The sequence below is a fragment of the Homo sapiens genome, chromosome 1, assembly GCF_000001405.40.
Source record: "Homo sapiens chromosome 1, GRCh38.p14 Primary Assembly".
NCBI classification, from domain to species: Eukaryota; Metazoa; Chordata; class Mammalia; order Primates; family Hominidae; genus Homo; species Homo sapiens.
The window spans coordinates 99,914,058-99,936,106 of record NC_000001.11 but is presented as its reverse complement, the minus strand read 5'-3'; the positions used below and the strand labels follow the sequence as shown (position 1 = coordinate 99,936,106).

At 36.7% G+C, this 22,049-nt stretch overlaps 1 protein-coding gene and 1 long non-coding RNA gene across 22 annotated transcripts in view; one reads left to right on the top strand and one right to left on the bottom strand.

The window, feature by feature from the left end:
* Nucleotides 1-22,049, top strand: part of LOC124904230 (uncharacterized) — a 124,812-nt gene that overhangs the window by 101,902 nt on the left and 861 nt on the right. For 4 of the 9 annotated variants that reach the window (XR_007066249.1, XR_007066245.1, XR_007066250.1 and 1 more), the window contains 2 exons: nucleotides 1,884-1,951; nucleotides 11,727-11,869. This is a non-coding gene — a long non-coding RNA (uncharacterized LOC124904230). Of the gene's footprint in view, nucleotides 1-1,883; nucleotides 1,952-6,422; nucleotides 6,573-11,726; nucleotides 11,870-22,049 lie in introns of those variants that run through there. The other 5 variants (XR_007066251.1, XR_007066246.1, XR_007066243.1 and 2 more) reach the window with 3 other exon arrangements.
* AGL (amylo-alpha-1,6-glucosidase and 4-alpha-glucanotransferase) overlaps nucleotides 12,084-22,049 on the bottom strand; it is a 74,766-nt gene continuing 64,800 nt past the window's right edge. For 11 of the 13 annotated variants that reach the window (NM_000643.3, NM_000644.3, NM_000646.3 and 8 more), the window contains 4 exons: nucleotides 20,621-20,718; nucleotides 19,610-19,697; nucleotides 19,376-19,509; nucleotides 12,087-14,573 (listed from right to left, as the gene is read on the bottom strand). In NM_000643.3, the coding sequence (NP_000634.2) occupies nucleotides 14,456-14,573; nucleotides 19,376-19,509; nucleotides 19,610-19,697; nucleotides 20,621-20,718 (438 nt within the window). In that variant the 3' untranslated portion in view covers nucleotides 12,087-14,455. Of the gene's footprint in view, nucleotides 14,574-19,375; nucleotides 19,510-19,609; nucleotides 19,698-20,620; nucleotides 20,719-22,049 lie in introns of all 13 variants that reach the window. The other 2 variants (XM_005270557.3, XM_017000501.3) reach the window with 1 other exon arrangement.

The window sequence follows — 22,049 nt, the reverse complement described above, 5'->3', positions numbered from 1 at the left end:
CCCCATCCTTGCAGTCAGGTGGTTTCTCTCCCAGTGTGGCTGAGTCCAGGGCTTTTATGGGCTCAAAATAAGGGAGTGTGTGCTGATTGGTTTGTGAGTATGCAAAGAAAGGCACCACTCAAAGGTGGGCATGGCAGTGTAGAAAACCAATTAGGAAAGGGTAGGTATATGTAAAGTAGGTGAAGCTTGGGGATCAGAGAAAAGCATGTCAAATGGGAAGACAGGTTCTCAATCTGGTCCATGGATTTGACTTGTAGCTTGGTTTTCAGGCTTTAAACTGTCTTCTGCTTGGAGGTAGGGTTTCACTGAGGACCTGTCCCTATCTGCTTAGGCATTTGTCTGCCTCCTGCCTCTATCATAAGGGCATTCTGAGTCATTTATGTCATGTCATTAGGTAGTGGTTGAATGAGAGTGAGTACCTTAGTAATGCATCCAAGAATAGGATGAGTCTTAGGGCCCCATGTAAAGAAAAATATATTAGGTTTTAGTAAATTCTAACCAGGAAACTTCTCAAAAAGAGTAGTGGCCCTTTTGATGCTTTAAACCAAGCTTAAACTCTCGCTGCTGCTTCAAAGCCATGTCTTTTTGCTTTCAATATAACCAATTATTCAGCCAATTATTAATGTGGTGAATATTCATTTTACTGAAAGATAGAAGTAATTTTGGAGATTATAAAGGTAATACTGAGATATAAAAGTCACTTATTTTGTGTTTTAAATATTAATGTATTCTAGTACAGGGTTTCTCAACCTCAATACTGTTGGCATTTTGGGCTGCAATAATTTTTTACTGTGAGGACCTGTCCTATGCTGTATAGGATGTTTAGCAACACACTAGAGGCAAGTAGCACTCTTCTGCTGTGACAATTAAAATTGTCTCCAGATATTGGTAAATCTCTCCAGAGAGGCAATTTATTAATTTTGTTTTATTAATAGAGATAGGGTCTTGCTCTGTCACCCAGGTTGGAGTGCAGTGGTGTGATCATAGCTTACTGTAACCTTTAACTACTGGGCTCAAGCAATCCTCTAGCCTCAGGCTTCTGAGTAGCTAGAACTACAGGCAAATGTCACCACACCTGGCTAATTAAAAAAATTTTTTTGAGACAGGGTCTAGTGATGTTGCTCAGGCTGGTCTTGAACTCCTAGCCTCAAGGGATTCTCAGCTTGGCCTCCCAAAGTGCTGGAATTACAGGCATGAGCCACCACACCTGGCTGAAAATCACTGTTCTAATGGAATAATCCATCTTATATGAATGCTATTTTTAAATTGGTATTTTTAGACAGATTGTTTCACTTAATTCTTAGATTCCTGTGACTATTCCTTTCCTGAGATATGAGAGTATTCATTCTCATATCTCGAGATTCCTAAGGTATGATATTCATTTTATTTGTAAGTCATTTAATTCTTGTGAACCTCAGTTTTCATGTACATGAACACAGAGCTAGAAGTGTTACACCTGGAACTTTTCCCTTAGAACAAATTAATTCTCATATGATACATAATGAAATAATTGTATACCTGTTGAAAATGAATATCTGGGTATGAAATTGTTATCTGTATATGATCACAGGTTTGTAAACATTTTGTATAAAAGGCAAAAAAGGCAAGATGACAGAAAATATTTGATTTATTTTGGTAGTCAAACTTGTTGGCTTCAGAATCCTGACTTCCATTGATGCAGTGGTCTCAACCCTAACAGTTAATTAGACTCCCCTAGGGGGCTTGAAAGTTATTAGTGCTGGATTCCTATCTCCAAGGATTTGGATTTGAGGAAAGAAAAAGCAGAAAGGAATACTGCTTAGTTAAAAAGGAGAATGTCTCACCAGGCACCAGTACACTGCCATTCATTGCCTTTTCTTTCTCTCATTCTCTTCTAAAACGAGGTAAAGAAGATAAAATTTGGGAACTTAAAACTTGGCAAAGAAGGAAATCCTTTTGGCAATATCATAAAGTGAGTGTCTATTTTCCTACCTTGCAGAGGGGAACCTAAAACTCAGATTTTATCTCCTTTGTGGGTTCCTCTTCTTCACCTGCTCATGAAATGGAAGTTTCCTGAACATCATTTCAGAAATGAGGACATTAGTAATTTTCTGTTACTGGATCTTTTTATTAAAATCACCCTTGATGTACATAATTTAATAGAAATATACATCTCTTTGGCTTCTTAAGAACAACCAGAGCCAGATGTCTTGAAGGCAGAAATGTCCCTGTGTTTTCCTAATACGGACCAGTATTTCTTTTTTCTTCTCTAGGTTCAATTTTTAATTTCATGTAATTTTATTTTAAATTTTTATTTATTTATTTATTTATTTATTTGGAGGCAGCGTCTCGTTCTGTTGCCCAGGCTGAAGTGCGGTGGCCTGATCTTGGCTCACTGCAAACTCTGCCTCCCGGGTTCAAGCTATTTTTGTGTTTCAGCCTCTCAAGTAGCTGGGATCACAAGCCTGTGCCACCAAGCCTGGCTAATTTTTGTATTTTTAGTAGAGATGGGGTTTCACCATGTTACCCAGGCTGGTCTCAAACTCCTGACCTCAAGCAATCCACCTGCCTTTTGCCTCCCAAAGTGTTGGGATTACAGGCGTGAGCCACTGCACCTGGCCTATTTTTTTTATTTTCATCAAAGCTTCCTTGCCCACAGTATTAAGAGATCTGTAAGTTTTGTTCCCCAAACACCAGTTCACCCAGTCAGCCCCAACTTCTACTGATCTTTCATGTTCTTCCAGCCATTTCATATCTGAACTGATTGTTTTGGGTATTACCTGCATGTTGCTATGTAACATGTTTATATTGCTATTTCTTGTTTTTTTCTTTTTTCAATTTTAGGCATTACTTATTGACTTTTATGGAAGATGTCCATTTAATTATCTTTCACACACACCTTCCCATTCCTCCTAGCCTCTACGGCAAACACATTTTCCATCCCCAGTCCAGTCAGTATAACTTCATCATAACTTTGCTATAATAAAAATTCACCATTTATGGTACTAATAACTCTTTTAAGTTTTATTAACAGCTGAGCCATATGGTATACTTTAATTACCTTTCCTTTTCTGCAAAACGTTATTTCCTCTATTGTTAAATATCTATTTTTGTTATTGCTTGCTTAGTTTTCTAAGTACTTAGGAACAATCTAGCCCTACTTCTTTACCTAGGAATCCTCTTAAAAGTTCAAACGCACTAGGTATCCCATCAATTTTAATGACTTAGAGAACCCTCTTCCTTGGATAGCTCCAATCTGCACTGGTTGATCTCTAGGTCCACTCTACAAATGTCACCTTGAGATCTCCCTTCAACATCATCCTGGCTCCCCTGGGAAAGTTCTTGAACTTTATTGTATAATTCTTTGTTTCTGCTGGAGTTTTCAATATCTAAGAGCTCTTTTTATGTCCCCAGGTGTTCCTTTTTTAACAATAGCATCCTGTTCTTGTTTCCTGAATGCAATATCTCCTCCTATACCTTAGAGGATATTAATCATAGTTTTTCTGATATTTTCTTCTCTCTGCATCTAACTTTTTAAAAAAGCTTTATTGGGCCGGGAGTGGTGGCTCACCCCTGTAATCCCAGCACTTTGGGAGGCCAAGGCGGTGGATCCTGAGGTCAGGAGATCAAGACCATCCTGGCTAACACGGTGAAACCCCATCTCTACTAAAAACACAAAAAATTAGCCAGGCATGGTGGCGGGTGCCTGTAGTCCCAGCTTCTTGGGAGGCTGAGGCAAGAGAATGGCGTGAACCCGGGAGGTGGAGCTTGCAGTGAGCCGAGATCGCAGCCTGGGCGACAGAGCCAGACTCTGTCTCAAAAAAAAAAAAAAGTGGCCAGGCGCGGTGGCTCACGCCTGTAATCCCAGGACTTTGGGAGGCTGAGGCGGGTGGATCACGAGATCAGGAGATCAAGGCCATCCTGGCTAACACAGTGAAACCCCATCTCTATTAAAAATACAAAAAATTAGCTGGGAGTGGTGGTGGGCGCCTGTAGTCCCAGCTGCTCGGGAGGCTGAGGCAGGAGAATGGCGTGAACCCGGGTGGCGGAGGTTGCAGTGAGCCGAGATCGCGCCACTGCACTCCAGTCTGGGCTACACAGTGAGACACCGTCTCAAAAAAAAAAAATAAGTTTTATTGAAATTAATTTCCTTACCAAAAAGTTCACCCATTTAAAGTATATACATGAATGATTTTTAGTAAATTTTCAAAGTTATATAACAAAAACCAAAATCTAATGGTAGAACATTTCAATCATCCCCACAAAAAAGCTTATGCCCAACTGCAGTCACTCCCTCTTCCCTTCCCATTCTAATCCCCAGGCAACCATTAATCTGCTCTTTGTGTCTATGTATTTGCCTTTCTGAATGTTTCATATAAACCCAAAATGAAGAATATTCTTTTGGTAAGAGGTGGGGTAACTTTTTTTCTTCAAAAATGTCATAAATGACAAAGAAATATTGTGGAAATATTCCTGATTAAAGGGAACTAAAGAGATGACAATTGCATGCCACACCTGATCTTAACTGGACCCTGTACTCGACGGAAAATAAGCTATGGAGGACATTATTCAGTGAACTGACAACACTGAAATTAGAAGGTGTATTTGATGAAAGTTTCATCAATGTTAAATTTACTGGAGTTAACTGTACTGTGCGTGTGTGTGAAGAGGAATAATTAAGAAAATAAGACAGATGGGGTAAAATGTGAGCAATAAATAGTTTTCAAAAACTCTCAGTCATTGTTATCATTTTCCTTGATTCTGAGACTCCAATTACAAGTGTGTGAGACTGTTTGACACTGTCCCATGTGTCTCACAAGCGGTGCTTGGTTCTTTCCGTTATTTTTCTCTTTTTACATTAGTTTCGATATTTTTAATTGATTGGCCTTTGATTTCATTACTTGTAGCACTCAGTCTGCTGTTAAAACTACTCTATATATAAATTCTTAATTTCAGATTAATATTTTTCAGTTCTAGAATGTCCTTCTGATACTTTTATATAGATTCCAATTCTCTTTTGGAATTCTCTGTGTTTTCCTTTATTTACTAATTTAGAGACAGGGTCTCCCTATGTTGCTCAGGCTGGTCTTGAGCTCCTGGCTTCAAGCAATCCTCCTGCTTTTGCCTCCCAAAGTGTTGGGATTACAGGTGTAAGCCACCATTTCCTTCTCTTATTTTTTAACATGTCTATAATCTTATTTGAAAAGGCCTATCAGCTAACCTCTGCAAGTGCATCATTTTGATCTGCATCTCGTCTGTTTTTTCTTTTGATTATTTATCACAGTTGCTTTTCTCTTCAAATGTTTCTTTATTTTGGGTAATATGCCACATATTGTGAACAAAAGAACTGTACAGCCTAAAGCTGGCCAGGCATGGTGGCTCATGTCTGTAATCCCAGCACTTTGGGAGGCCGAGGTTGAGGGGGAGGGGATCCCTTGAGGCCAGGAGTTCAAGACCAGCCTGGGCGACATAGTGAAACCCATCTCTATTAAGAAAAAAAAAAGATATTGGAAAATTTATTTTTAAATTGAAAAAAGAGACTAAAGTTGGTGTTATTTTCTTATAGAGAATCGTTTGAAGGGATGTATAAATTGTGGTTTATTCAAACAATGGAATCAACTATGGCAGAGAAGAAAAATGAGCCACAAGCTGCACTCATCAATGGGAATAAATCTCAAGAACATAATATGTTACAAAAATTAAATTTAAAAAGATTAGAAATAATAGAATTCCAAATATATAACGGTTAAAACAGGCAAAACTAAATCGTATATTAAGATATACATATATAACACTATAGAGATAATTAGGAAAATAACTAACATAAAATCAGGAGGGAGAATCCACCAGTGGCAGAGAGGGAATCTAATTTGGAGGGGCAGGCAGTGCACTTTAGTGATACTGGTAAGGTTATCTTCTAAAGCTCTGTAAAAATCTCCCATAAAATACCTCCAGAAAAATCTGTTGGTCACGTCTTAAATATTGCTGCAAGGAAAAATACCATCTTAACAAAATCTTGGTATTTTCTCAGAAGGGGTAAGTTAGGGAAAGGTATTTACAGAGTTTTGGAACATGGCTGGGTGATTTTTAAGGCAGGTATTGCAAGATGGAGCTGGTTGGGATTAGGCAGAGTTTAAAAATAATAGCTTTGTATTGGTGGACAAAATGAGGCAAGTGTTTTAAAATAAATCTTGATGAGCAAGATAATTATCAGAAAAATACTGGTGAGCTAGCTGTTTTAGTTGGTTTACAGTCTCATCTTCCTAGACAGGAATTTGTGAAATAAACAGCTACTATCTTTGCTTGGCTGTAGTATTGTCTAAAATAGGGGCAGGATATTTGTCTTCGTTTTCAACTCTGTGGTGGGTTCATGCTGTTCACTTAATTGTTGTTCTTTAAAAATGCATATATTATGTTTCAAAACACAATTTCTTTTTCTCTAGGAAAGCAATTATACTTAAACATTCCATAAGAAATTTATATTCCATTCACTGAAAGAAAACAAACAAAACAACAAAAGAAATTTATAGGCTGAAAACTGATAAACTATCCCCTTAAGTCCAACATAACAATTTCTCCTTTAATTGTAAGTGGTTTGTTCTTCCTTAGATTGGGCACAAGATATAGTAATTGATCTCTGTGTTGGGGGCAGCTTCCCAACCCATGTAGGACTCTATGATGAATGGGTTACAGGAGTGATGAAACAGTTTTCCTTAGCTCTTTAGGCAACGCGTCTCTGGCTGTTTGTCACCAGCCAGAAGTATCCACCTCTCTTTTACCACAGTATGCTAATTATCTTTTTGTTGTTGTTGTTTTGAGACAGAGTCTCACTCTGTCACCCAGGCTGGAGTGCAATAGCAGGATCTCAACTCACTGTAACCTTCACCTCCTGGGTTCAAGCAATTCTCTTGCCTCAGCCTCCCAAGTATCTGGGACTACAGGTGTGTGCCACCATGCCCAGCTAGTTTTTGTATTTTCAGTAGAGACAAGGTTTCACCACGGTGGCCAGGCTGGTCTCAAACTCGTGACCTTAAGTGATCCATCAGTCTCAGCCTCCCAAAGTACTAGGATACAGATGTGAGCCACTAAGCCCAGTCTTTTTCTTGTGTGTTTTTCTGAGACAGGGTCTCGCTCTGTCACCCAGGCTGTAAGGTAGTGGCATGATCATAGCTCACCGCAGCCTTGACCTCCCGGACTCAAGTGATCCTCCCACCTCAGCCTCCTTAGTAGCTGGGACCACAGGTGTGTGCCACCACACCAAACAAATTTTTAAACTTTTTAGTAGAGATGGGGTTTTATTGCCCAGGGTGGTTTTGAACTCCTGGGCTCAAGTGATCTTCCTGTTCCTGTCTCACTGTCTCAGCCTCCCAAGCTATATATATATAATTTTTTTTTTTTTTTAAAGACAGGGTCTGGCACTGTCTTCCAGACTGGAGTGCAGTGGTGCAATTACAGCTCACTGAAGCCTTGACCTCCTGGGCTCCAGTGAGCCTCCTGCCTTAGCCTCCCAAGTAGCTGGGACCACAGGTGTGCACAACCATGCCTGACTGATTTTTAAATTTTTTTGTGGAGATGGGGGTCTCACTATATTGCACAGGCTGGTCTCAAACTCCTGGGCCCAAACAATCCTCCCACCTTGGCCTCCCAGAGTGCTGGGATTACAGGCGTGAGCCACCACACTCAGTCCAAGCTTACCTTTTTACATGTGTTCTATAACATGTAAAGGGTTGGAAGCACTGGTTTAGGGAACTGTGTCTTATGGAAATGGTATATTTTTAAACACTGGACTCACAATTGGCTCAGTGGAACAATGACATTATGAGAAACACACAGAAATGAAGACCCCCCCAGGGAAGCATATATTTGCTTATTTCTGAGTATGCAGAGCTGAATTCCAGTAAGTGAATCTCTAATAGAAATAGATCTCTAGCCAGATGTGGGTTGCATGCCTGTAATCCCAGCTACTCTGAAGGCTGAGGGAGGCTGAGGCAGGAGGATTGCTTGAGCTCAGGCATTCAAGACCAGCCTAGGAAAAACAGTGGGACTCTATCTCAAAAAAAAAAAAAAAAAGGAAACCGATCTCTAGGTCTAAGAGTTAATGCTTTGAAGTTGCTTAAAGAAAATAAAAAAGCTTATCTTTTGTAGACATTCAGAAAGAAGGGAAGTCTATCAAACAGTCACACTCTATTTATTGCAAGCTAGTTCATTTATTTGTCTGAAATACATTTCCCCACGTTGTCCAATGATGAGAAAGACCAAAGTAGAATTAAAATCAACCAAACCAAAACGAACAAAAATTCCTATAAAATTCTATCTTGCTTTATTAGTAAAGACTTCAGTAATAGCTCTTCTGCTTCTTTAGAGTTTAAGTATAAAATTACAGATTTTTTTTTTAGGTGAGAAAATTTGTTATTTTAGCCAAGCCTTAAAATTTGCCATCAATTTAGATGATGTAAAATTTGAGTTGTTTCCCCTATTGTTAAAATAAATAGGCTGGGTGCAGTGGCTCATGCCTGTAATCCCAACACTTTGGGAGGCTGAGGCTAGAGGGTCGCTTGAGTTCAGGAGTTTGAGGCCAGCCTGGGCAACACAGTGAAGCCTTATATCTACAAAATATTAAAAATTAGCCAGGCTTGGTGGCACATGGCTGTAGTGCCAGCTCTCTGAGAGGCTGAGGCAGGAGGATCACTTGAGCCCAGGAGTTGGAGGCTGTAGTAAACTATGATCATACCACTGCATTCCAGTCTGGGTGACAGAGTGAGACTCTGCCGCTAAAAACATTACAAAAAGTAAACAGATTATTGTCTACCCCTGCTTATAATATCTAAGAGACAATAAGCTCATATTAAAAGAAATATTTGAGAAGTTCTTGAATATTCTATGTCATTAAATGCTAGCTTTGGTTCTTGATGACAATGGAACCATCATATCAAATCTGGGGTGCACACCTTCGACATTTATCTTATGTAGACCATTGTTATTTAGGTTCTATTATAGGCAGTGAAACTTAAATACACTATGGGTTGCCCTCGTGAATTCTTACTACCCACAGATGTTACAGTCACTGTTTTTACAATTGAAGAAACAAAGTTTCAGGGAGGCAAGTAATCAGCTTTGGAAACAGCAAGGAGACACTAAGACAATAGGACTGGAAAGAGACTGAGGCCAAATCATAGCGAATCCTCAATGTCCTCTGACCAGTGATGGACAGCATCAGTGTTCAAGAAAGGTTTTCCTCATAGTTCCATGAGGGATAAATTGTGATCAATTTAAAGATTATTGTGTTAATCTATGCACAAGATAAGAGTACGAGTAGAAATCTGCAGTCAGGTAAAAGTGAAAAGACTTTGTGATCCATTGAATGTGATGTGGGAGCCAAGATAAATCATTTTTGGAGTACTGCTCCTTTATGTGGTAAAAAAGATATCTAATAAGACTTAGTGCTCAGTTTTGTACTTTGAAAATATATCCATTACAATAAATATATTAACATTGAACACTTGCAGAATTAAGTGCCATATTTTTTAGTGAATTTCCATAGATTGTTTCCTTTGGTATTAAAAATGCATGGGCATGGGCCCCACTTTTTGGCCGAAATTCCTTTGGACCAACTTTAACCAGTTGGCCTTCTCTTAATTATTAACACTTCCTGTTGTCTCTGACTTTTCTGTTTCACTGTCCTTGATAAGATACTTATATTTCCAAATTTATCCTACTTGTATAACCTAGCCCATGCTTGGCACCAAGTCTACACATTTAGCCAGGAACACATGGGGTTATCTGATTAGTGCAGATGGCTGCAGATACAGAATTTTGGCCAGGTAATAATAAGGAAGTATACCTAGGCCCAAGGAGAACAGACCTAAATGCTTTCCATGGGAAACCGATAATATCAACAGTGGGTCCTGTGGGTTGATGGTTGCAGGAAGCAGGAGGGCAAGCACAGAAGACAGCAATCTTGAGGGTTTGTGTAAGAGGATTTGTGGTAGGAAAATCAGAGTTTGAGTCTTGGGTCCAACAATTTATCCACTATGTGATTTATGGTAAGATTATCAATGTTCTGATTTACAAAAGGGATATAATACCTCCAATGTAAAATTGCTTATATAGTAGGGGCTCCATAAATGTTTCTTGAATCTGAATTTTCGATTCTGACCAATTGACCACCAAATTGAACCAAAATGGACCACAGCAATCATAAACATAAAAATTAGGAAGAATTCCAACAAGCTAAAAATTTTTAAATAAATAGCTTATGTTTTAAGATTAAATAATGTCAATATGTCTGTTGTTATCAAATTAATAGTATGAGGGCTTGTTTAGTAAAAATGCTGAGAATACTTTTTGGATTTGGAAAAATACATACAAAGAATAGGTGGGAATAAATAAGATTCTGAAAAAGAAGACGAGGGAACCGATGAGAGAAAAACGTGGTGACAAAATGCTCTAACAAATATTAAAACAAAAACTGTAATAGTGAAATAGGTGAATGGGCACAGAAAACAGTATATTCTAGAAGTAGACCCTACTAGTAAAGAATAATGCAAGATTAAAAAAGGACTTCCCATAAATCATATTCAACTTATAAGTTTGGGATTTAACAATTTGGAAAAAAAAGCCTAAGTAATGTCTCATCTCATACCACATGCACTTATAAAAAAAATAAAACTGGAAATAGAAACAATGGTTATTATTGAGACTGATGTAAATTTTGAGGAGACAGTAGAGATTACAAACGTGGAGGCAAGTGCTGAAAGATCTGATTAAAGAAAAAAGCTGGCCAGAAATGGTCACGCCTATATAATCAGCACTTTGGGAGGCTGAGGTGGGAGGATTGCTTGAGCCCATGAGGTTGAGACCAAGCCTAGACAACACAGTGTGGACCCCCATCTCTACAAAAAAAGAATTGCAAAAGTTAGGTGGGTGCAGTAGTTGTACGCCTGTCATCCTAGCTACTTGGGATGCTGAGGTGGGAGGGTAGTTTGAGCCCAGGAGGTTGAGACCAGCCTAGACAACACAGTGTGGACCCCCATCTCTACAAAAAAAGAAATGCAAAAGTTAGGTGGGTGCAGTAGTTGTACGCCTGTCATCCTAGCTACTTGGGATGCTGAGGTGGGAGGGTAGTTTGAGCCCAGGAGGTTGAGGCTGTAATGAGCTGTCTGTCATCAGGCTTGGGCAGCAAAGCAAGACTCTTTAAAAAAACAAAAACAAAACCCCTGCTCTAACCAAAATAACTACAGCCAGAATGACAAAGTATTAGCACTACTCTATAATTCAAGGCTCATACAAATTGGGGGGGTTGGGGGAGGGAACCAACAACTACTAAGCAAATTCCATGAGTTTATTATATTGGCACATTGAGGTTCTATGTAAGTAATTTTGGCAAGTTTGCTGTGGTAGTTACAGGTTTGGATTTTTAGGTTAATATCTTTTATCTGAAGATGAAGATATGCATATCTGCAGTAAAAAGAAACCAACAGAAACTAAGGCAAAGACCAAACTGATCAACTTTGGTCATTAGATGCTTTTCTATAAATATGTATATTATTCAGTAATACAATGAAAAGTAAAAAAATTTTGGCTACTTTAGGAGGCAACGTATATATGTCTTCTGGCCTGTAGTGTTTACTGTAAGTTGATCAAAGGTAAATTAAAAATTCACACTTGAGTAAAAGGTTTCAAGAAGTACCAGGAAAGTGTGCAGCTTATTTTTATTTATTTTAAAAAAATTATTTTTATTTTTCCAGGAGGCCCATTGTCACCAGAAGTGTATAGTTTCTAACAGATTTATACATTGGAAGTTGATTTTGCTCCTAATTTCAACATGCCTAATGAAATAAATAATCAAAACAGTCTAAAATTCTTCCTCCTCTCTGCCTCCTGCAAAAAGGTAAGCACCTAAAGTAGGCAAGCACTGAATAAATGACTCTGGTCAGCACTGACAAATTAATTGCCTCTAGGAGGCTGAGGCAGGAGGATCACTTGAGGCCAGGAGGCTGAGACCAACCTAGGGAACATAGTGTAGAATCCTGTCTCTACAAAATAAAAAATAAGTAAAAAATAAAAAATTAGCTGGGTGCAATGACTATGAATGAAAGCAAAATACAGACCTTTAGAAAATATTTTTATTTTCTTAACACACAGAGGTAACAATGACATTTGCCCACTAGACACAGTAGTTCAAGACATATCAGAAATGGATCACAATTCACATGTTACAATATTCATCAATATGACCAGTCTCATGTTTTCCCAATTATCTTTGAAAACTTATTAAAATACCACAGCATACTAAACTGGTAAATTCATTTATCATGTTAAAGAGTAATTTTGATTTTGATTAGTGAAAAACCAAGGCATAGTCCATTGTTGAAATACAATACCTTATCCAGCATCACTCAAGTATGAAGCATTCTACCGAAACGTTTAGTCAAATGACACCTGTTAAAAATCTAATTCTGTATTTTAACTACCATAGAGGAAATAATGTTTAACATGCCTTCTTAAACTTTAAAATATACCACGCAGAATATAACAATGTTCTTTCATTAATCTTCCTCATTAGAAATATGAACCACTTAGTTTTCTAGTGCAACACAATATCCTAAAAATTTACCAACGTGGGTATCTGCCTTACTAGAGATAACCCCAAATGGCTACATTAAAAAAATTGTGAACTTTTAATTTTTTTGGTCACATTTAACTGTCAGCGATTACTTCTTGCTTTGATTAAATATGCTGGTTTTCTGTTACCTTTCCTACCTCCCTGAATATCAAAGTTAGGGTACAGCAACAAAACTACATAAACCTTTGATAAACTAATGGTTCTCTCAAGGACAGTCATTCCTTTTACCCGCACAGTTTAGAGAAGGGTATATATTGAACAAGGAAGGAACTGAAGAAGAAAGGGAGATTTGGAAACCAATGTCCAATGTATTTATAGATAGTGGTCAGATTACTGTCACAACTGTCCTTAAATTTGTAGGATTTAATCTATTTTAGTTTTGGAAACCAGAAAACTAAGCTAGTTAAAACTATTTCTAAAGCAAGGTCAGCTTTGAAGAAGAGCAGGCAGATAATCTTAAAGTAAATTACACGAGCTTTCAAGCATGGGTATTTGACATCTGAAGCATTTATATATTTTTGCTGCCCAGAAGTTTTAGTTTGCTGGTTTTCTTCTTTAATTTCTTAGTCATAGTTAAGGTTTTGGGTATGTAACCTGTAAACTAACTAAAAAAATGCTACTTTGAAAGTAGCATTATTTTAAAATACCATTATTTTATTAGGTATAAATGAGCCACTGAATATTATATAGCAATGAAAGAATTCTTGCCACTACTTTCTTCCAACTGAATGCATAATGATTTAACTGTTTTCTTAAGAAAACAGTAAAAAACAGTAAAAAATTCTATCTAGGAAATAAGTTCTATGAAAAAATGTTAACTCATGTAAATGTTAAAAACCTTTTTCCTTTTGTGACTTTAAGATTTTTAAGGCATCTTAAAATAAGTTATCATGAAAAACTTCCAGTGATTTTATTGAATTTAAGATATCTACTGAATTCATATCCATATTTTTGTTAAGATTCTTCTCAATGTTAAACTTGTCAATGTAGGTTTTGAGTTAATAGAAAACCAGTATCTACTATGATCTAGCAATAGATTTTTGAACATGACTAAAGATAGTTGAGTTTTAGAAAACTAATATAACATTCTTTTTTCTTTAAAGTTCTAGAAATATGACCGACAATTTCCATTTTGAAAATGTAAGCTATCTTATAATACTCAATAGAACTCAATACTAATTTTACAAAACTGTTTTTAGGAAATAAATTTCCTAATGCTTTGCATGTTTCCTCACATAAGTAAATCATATAAAATATACTGTTGGCATTCATTACACAAAAATTAATATATCAGTGAAAAAATGAAAGCATAGTTTGAACATCTGTGCTCCATTTAGGAACATATATTGTAGATGGAAACTTCTATCATTCATCATTTATTAAATATTTATTAAATGCAGTGAGCACTGTATTAAGAATACTATAGTACGTGGTGTTAATATTAATGAACCACAGCGTATTCAGTATGTATTGTTACTGAAGATTATATATACCACAATTAAAAGCTATCTTTTCATTTCTTTCATTATTTTCATATTTTATTTTCATTTCTGTACAAATAGAAGATGACATGATTTTTCTTTTCCAAACTATGGATTTCTAGGCATTTGAATAATTCTTACTGAACTCAAACACATTTCATTGGTAATGATATTTCTTTCTGATTCAAATTGAAATCTACCTCTGTACATTAAAAAAAATCAATGCTTTTACAATCTTACCTAATTGAGCATCAATATTATAATAAATGAGATTTTTAAAACAACTTGAGCCTGTGCATATAAGGCATTTACATATGATGACCTTGCATCCTATAATACAAGTAATTGCATACTTAATATCTGTAATAAACTATAAATCATAAAGTGTCTCAAGAATAGTAGCAATTGACCAGGCTTGTGTTTCACAGCTGAAAGGACAGTACTGGGCATTCTCATTGGTCAGTTCTGGAAGTCCTTTCCAAGGGGATCTGAATGAAAGAAAAGACATTTTACAAAGACATAATTTAATTCATATTAACAAAATAGGCAAGACCTGGTGATTTTTGCCTTCTAGTGTAGAAAATAATCATATGTAGTCATTTGCTACAAAATAAAACAATATCCTAAAGACATACAAATGAATTTAGACTGAAATTATTCTTTGACATTCCATCTTTGGAATTTGAGACTTTTAAATACAAGGAATCCCTTTATGTATTAAAAACATAGAAGAAACTACCATTACAAGCTACATATAAACATAGAGATAAATACTCTCTCAGGCATAATTTTGTTTATGAGACTCAAATTGTAATTATGCAGATGTGTTATGTGTGATCTTGATAAAACTGTAAAAGTAAAAGTAATGAAGAAACACTAAGAACTATGATTAGGCGGAAAAATGGCATTCCAGAATACTTTCTACTTAAAGAAAAAAATGCCAATTAATTTCTCTTTCTACTGAATAATAAACTTGGTATTTATTATGCATTTATGTTCTAATACTGCTTTTATGTATATTATCTCATTTAATGTTCACAGTAACCCTGTAAGGAAGGTACCATAAGTATTCCTATCTATAGAGAGGTAAGAGAGATTTATAGAGGTTAAATAACTTGTTCCAGCCCTCCTTATCAGAACACAGTGATGTTAGCACATCAAATTTATTGTTAATTTCAATGTAATCCCTTAAAAATGAAAACAAATTCAAAAAGTACAGACATCTGTAATGTTTCATTTTTAAGTTGGGTTGTGGGAACATATTTGTTTCATTACTATGGTTTGTATCTCAGGGCTATATTACATACACGCTTCAGTGGGCATCAAATACTTCATAGTAAAAATGGGAAAAAATAATCCCATTAGGTAAAACAGGGTATTTTGGATAATAACTAATATCAGCTAGGTACCATATTTAAAAAACTGTCATAGAAACATGGAAAATATAGAAAATGTATGTTTCCAAGTATTCAAGCTACATCAGAGTAAAATGCCAAATGACTGAAGTTGGATACCTGGGCATCTGTAATGTGTTGAATTACATCTCCACAGAATTTGTATGTTGAAGTCCTAGCCCCGAGTACCTCAGAATGTGAACCTGTTTGGAAATCGGGTCACTGCAGATGTAATTAGTTAAGATAATGCCACATGAAGATTGGAGTTTTGCTGCCACAAGCCACAGGATTATCAGCAGCTAGGAGACAGGGCTGGAAGAGACCTTTCCCTAATGCCTTCAGAGGGAGCATGGCTCTGCCCATGCCTTGATTTTTCAGATTTCTGGCCTCCAGAACTGTGAGACAATATTCTGCTGTTTAACAATTTCTATTATTTAAGTCACTCAGTTTGTAGTGCTCTGTTACTGCAGCTCTAGCAAACTAACAGATACCAAAATTAAAAAACAAAATGAGGTTACAAAACCATGAATATGCTGCCCATAATTACACTTGGACACTAGGACATGGAATGTATCCATACAAATATAAGGAAGTCCCCTTTCCCTTGCTTTCCTGAAAAATTCATCCTGAAGTCATTAGGTGGGACAGAGCAAGGTAGGTGACCAGAAATGGAGGGGAAAGGGTAATAGGTAGTATGGAGCAGGATGTTAGAGTCCAAGAGGTATGAAGAGGGAGTCCACCAAGGGTGAGAGTGGTCCAGAGTGGGTAGTTAGAATCCAAGTGGTGCCAGGAGGGCTCCACACATAGAGGTGGCTTACTGTGGGGTAGCAGGCCCAAGCTGGGTGAGCAGACTCTATGTGGTGGTGATGGCCCAATGTGGGAAGTAGGTTATTCATTGTTGGAAAAGGGAATTACAAATATAGAAAGGGAGAAAAATAGAATTAAACACTGAGAAATAGCTTGGAACTGGTGTAAACTCAGGTTTTCAACACACATAGACAGGATACATTGAGATGAAGATAAGTGTGTATGTATTTACTTATGTTTATGTATTATTATATATTCCCTAGCCCTATCTACTGGGGGTCATAGTAATAATAAATACACCATGTGCTCAGATCTGGCTTCTAAATAACATTTTTCACTATAAAGAACAAGGGATCCTTAGAGAATTGCCCAATTCCAGGCTGGGGTAGTGAAAGTGAAAGATGAGTGTTGAAAACCTTGCTGGGCCAGAAAGCAAGGAAGGACTTCCATATGTGACAAACAGGAAGTAGTATGGACAGAATTTCCCTCCTGTCTGATACAACTGAAGAACTGGACATTAAGACATTAGACATTAGGCAACAAATAGCGATCCTTGAAGGATGAGAAACAAATGAAGCAAACCCTATGATTACCATACCTTACTGCCTTGAGAGTTTCCAGGATTTGGCACAGAGAGGGGGAACACAGGTGGAGCCTGGCAGACTTCCTTGAGTTGAACTGAGAATCCAGGAACACTACAAAGCAGCTACAATTTGCAGGATAGAGTACTAGAGAGGAAGGAGCTGTACAAAGAGAGAACTCTGAAGATATGCAGAGGGTCCCACTCAAGTATCTGTAGTGTACCAACCAGCAAATTCACAAGAGGAAACTACCAAAGAACAAGGAAAGAACCATCCAAAAGGATGAGAAGAAGCAGTATGTGGCACTCATACAGCGTCAGGAACACTTGCTTGTTCCCACCAGCCAGATTTGAAAACGTCATAATTTTCGAAATACAGGGTAGGGAACACAGATGGGTCTTGATTCACTAATGGAGAATAATTATTCCTAGACCAAATGCTATTCTGGTCAGGTCTAACAAGCTTAAAATCAAGACCAGAAAGGATCAAACTGTTTCCAAGTAATTTCACTGCATTCCAAAACAAAGCTCAAAAACATTTACAGAAACACCAAAAATCTAGCACCCAACAAGGTAAAATTCACATCTGGTATCTAATAAAAAATAACCAGGCAAATGGCTGGGTGTGGTGGCTCATGCCTGTAATCTCAGCACTTCAGGAGGCCGAGGTTGGGGGACTGCTTGAGCCTAGGAGTTCGAGACCAGCCTGGGCAAGATAGCAAGACCCCTGTCGCTCCAAAAATCAAAAAACAAAAACTACCAAGCAAAGAAGCAGGGTGATATGACCCAAAATAAAGAGAACAATCACAAGCAAAAGCAACCCAGAAATGAATTAGCAGACAAGGATATTAAAAGAGTCACTGTAATCATATTCCACATGTTCAAAACATTAAGCAGAGACATGGAAGATATAAAAACAGCCCAGATAAAACTTTGAGAAATGAAAACTACAACGTTGAAATGAAAAACACCAGCATGGATGTGATGGTAGGTTAGACATAAAAATGATGCAGATTTCTTATCAAAACAATGTAACCACCTTAAAGTATGAAAGAGAAAAAAGCTTAACTTTGAATTCTATACATAGTGAAAATATCTTTAAAATAAAGGCAAAACACAGATGTTTTACACTTATAAGAATTGAAAGAATTCATCATGAGGAGGCAAACACTACAAGACATGATGGAGAAAGTCCTTCGGGTAGAAGGAAAATGATACAAGATGGAGATACAGAACATCACAAACATATGAAGAGCACTGAAAATGGCAACTATAAGAGTAATTAGACTTTTTAATATATTATTTAAAGATCATTAAAACATAACTGACTGCCTAAACAAATGTAGTAACCATGTAGTGTGGGGGGTAATAACAGGTAAAAGCAAAATGGATGATGATGATAGCACACAGGCCGGGAGGGGAAAAATAAAACTATACTATTTTAAGGATCTTTATACCTTACTTGAAGTGGTATATCACTGGAAGGTAAACTATAAAGACATATACTATAAACCTAAAGCAGCCATTTTAAATAAACAAGAATTACATCTAATTAGCCAACAAAGGAGATTAAAATGAAATAATAAATATTCAATGCAAAAGAAGCACAAAAAGAGGAAAAAGCTAACAAAGAACAGACAGAATAAACAGACAACAAACATTTAAATTTCACAATTTCAGACCTTAAGTGTAAATGGTCTAAATATTCCAAAAGCAGAAACTGTTGTGCTACACGAGAGCAAGGCCCGATTACATGCTACTATGTACAAGAAAGCCACTTTAAATACAAAGACATAAATAGCTTAAAAGGATGGTAAAATCTGTACCATGGTGACAACCAAACAAAACAGACCAGGAGTGGCTCTATTAATATGAAACACGCAGAAGTCCCTTATGTGCTTGTAAGAAAGGAGATAAAATTTGTGCTGTTTATTCATTATCTGAGGAATAGAATATAGATATACTTAGGTATAATCTAAAATTTGAGGAATTAAGATACACTCTGAATTTATACTCTTATAAAGATACGTAACTCTGACACTGTCTATTTGCTAATAATTAGGACAAGGAAGTGAAAAATGTTTTTTGAACTAACAGGCAAAAGACCAGTTCTGATATTTTAACTATAATGAAAGCATTTCTGAAAACTATTTCTTGATATATCTTTAAATCAATTAACTCAAAAGGCCCAGGCTGAGTACCTTCAGTTTTTATATTTATCCTGTGCTAACCACATCCAAAAACATCAGGGAAATTTTAAAAATCAAAGACTATTCCACATGTATAAATCGCACAATATCAAGACCTCAACTTAAAATAAATAACAACCCAAAATAAGAGAAAGTGAAAATTATATAACAGAATTTGTCATGTTAAAGAATAAAGGCTTCACTTTTCATTGGGATACCTAGGGCATACAGAAATCAATTCTAAGAAACTGTAATTTACCTAATAGCTAATAAACTGACTAAACACTAGTTATGGAAATTACATGCTCCTGATGACTTACCTCTCAAGATGAACATAATGTCGGGAAAGAACATTTTTAACCAAAACTATAGTCTTTGCAGTAGTCTCCGGGCCCATCAATCTGGAAAAATATAATTTTGCACGAAGAAAATACCCAATAGGCCACAGCCACTCCTAAAAAAGATTATTTAAAAGACAAAAAAAACCATAAATACCTAAAAATTACTTGAAAAATAATTTAAACTGAAACTCAGAAGATAAATGAAATTCTTACAGGTCCTTGGTGATAATTGAAACCTTTAGCAAGATTGTAGTTGTCATTGTCTAATGCATTGTCATAAATTCCACAGTAAACCATATCACTGCAAAATGATTGAAATTTAAGTTAAATAAAAGATGATCAGATATTATGTAAAAAGCATTAGAAAAATTTCAATAACAAAGGTAAGAGAAATAATCAATTATTTTGTCTTCTACAGAATAAGCTCGGCATTAGTACATCATCCATCTAACCTTAAATTAGTACATACTGAGTTCACAGGACTTTAATCATGTGTTAAAAATGATTAACAAATACTGGTTAATATAAAAAATGTAAAATATTCTGGTATCTTGCCTTAAAGAAGTTAGCCTGGCACTAAATATGGCTTGGTTTAAAGTCAACTATTTCCTAGGCCTCTAATATATTGAAGCCTATCTAATAATTGAAATATATATAGAATAATTTGAATTAATAAAAATTAAAGACATGGTTTTATTAATTATAGATTGGAAAGGTGATTTTTAAGCTTCTCCATAAAATTATTTTAAAATTAAAATTGGCCTATTATCGGATTACAAATAGCAACTGAATATACATATTGCTTTATTGTAATACATGGAACTTATAACACAGTTATCTATACTCCATTTGTTACTTTTCTTTTTTTGGAGAGCTGGTCACAAGAGTCAGCTTTAATTGTGAGTTTTGGTGTGTGTGTGCGTGTGTGTGTGTGTGTTTTAATACAGTGTCTCATTCTGTCAAGCAGGCTGGAGTGCAGTGGTGCCATCATAGCTCACTACAGCCTTGATCTCCTGGGCTCAAGTGATACTCCTGCCTTAGCCTCCTGAGTAGCTAGGACTACAGGTGTACACAATCTCTCCCAACTAATTTTTTTTTTAACTTTTATTTTTGTAGAGATGGCATCTCCTTTTGTTGCCCTGGCAAAAAAAAAAAAATTATGGTTGATGTCAATGTATTTGGATTAAATATGATAACATTCTTAATACTTATATTCCAACTTACTCTGGATCTAAAGTTTTCATGCCAAGGGGACCAAGCAATTTTTTTTCTGCAATCTCCAAAGCTTTCCATGCTTTTTCTGTAGTAAAGAGCTCAGGGGCCTAGTGAATGCCAAAAACAAATATACAAATTTTTAAGATCACAGAAGAATTAGTTCCTACCCACAGAAACTATTCATAAGCTTGAAAAAAATTACTTAAAATACCATGAGGGTCAGAATTTGAGTGTAGATGCCTAAACAGATCTAATCCTATGAGGCTGACTTAGAAGGACTGTTTTTGGCCGTAGAAGTTAGGAAAGCCTTTAGAGGTGATTATTTCTCTGTGTCACCTCAAGAAAGTTACTCAGCTCCAAAAGGAAGTTGCCACAGCTACACTGAAGGCAGAACACACTTTTATTTTAACCCCTTTGGAGACAGGGTCTCACTCTGTCACCAGGCTGGGGTGCAGTGGCGAGATCAGAGCTCAGTGCAGCCTCAATCTCCTGGGCTCAAGCGATCATCCTGCCTTAGCCTCTTGAGCAGCTGGGACTACAGGTGTGTACCACCACAAATGGCTAATTTTTTTTTAAATTTTTGTGGAGATGAAGTCTCACTATGTTGCCCAGGCTGATCTTGAACTCCTGAGCTCAAATGATCCTCCAACCTCAGCCTCCCAAAGTGTTGGAATTACAGGTGTGAGCCACTGAACCCAGACAGCACACACTTAAATTTATGTAACTCATTCTTCAGCAGATTCATAATAGCTTTCTTTAAGTACATCTGATACCCATTGTTTGCTTCTGGGGCCATAAATAAACACAGAACTTTTACTCCAATAGCATGAGTAAATTTATCAGAGATACAGAGAAAGAAGAGAAAAGCATTGTTGACCAAGAATATGCATTAATTTTAATGGTCCACGCTGAACCAAAGCTACCTTTGTGTACTTTTACACTTTTCATTCTACTATAATTTATAGTAGTAGGTTTGGTACTCTTTTTGACAACGTGAAAACAGCTAGCCAGGCATAGAAGAACACATACCTTCTCTATTTTACTTCCTTGTAGTTTATTTTTAGACTAAAGTATAGATTTAAAACAGCAGAGAGTCTAAAATTCTTTGCCGGACAAACTGATTGCAGCAATGCAACAATGAAAACAGAATGTTAACTAAAGCTATCCACTTTAGTTCACTAGTTCAGGGCTTTCCAACTAGTGTGCTGAGGCACTGGTTATAGCACAGGTGTGTAGGATACAGAGACCCTCAGCTTTCAGGGTAGCTGGGTGGGGCCTGGGGCTAACTGAAGTAGTTGGATCTAGCACAAGCAGCCTACTCCATGTAACCTATTGTGCTATACAAATATCATTTTCTTTTCTTTTCTTTTCAAATATGGTGGTGGGGCTTCATTATGATATCCAGGCTGGTCTCAAACTCCTGGGCTGAAGTGATCCT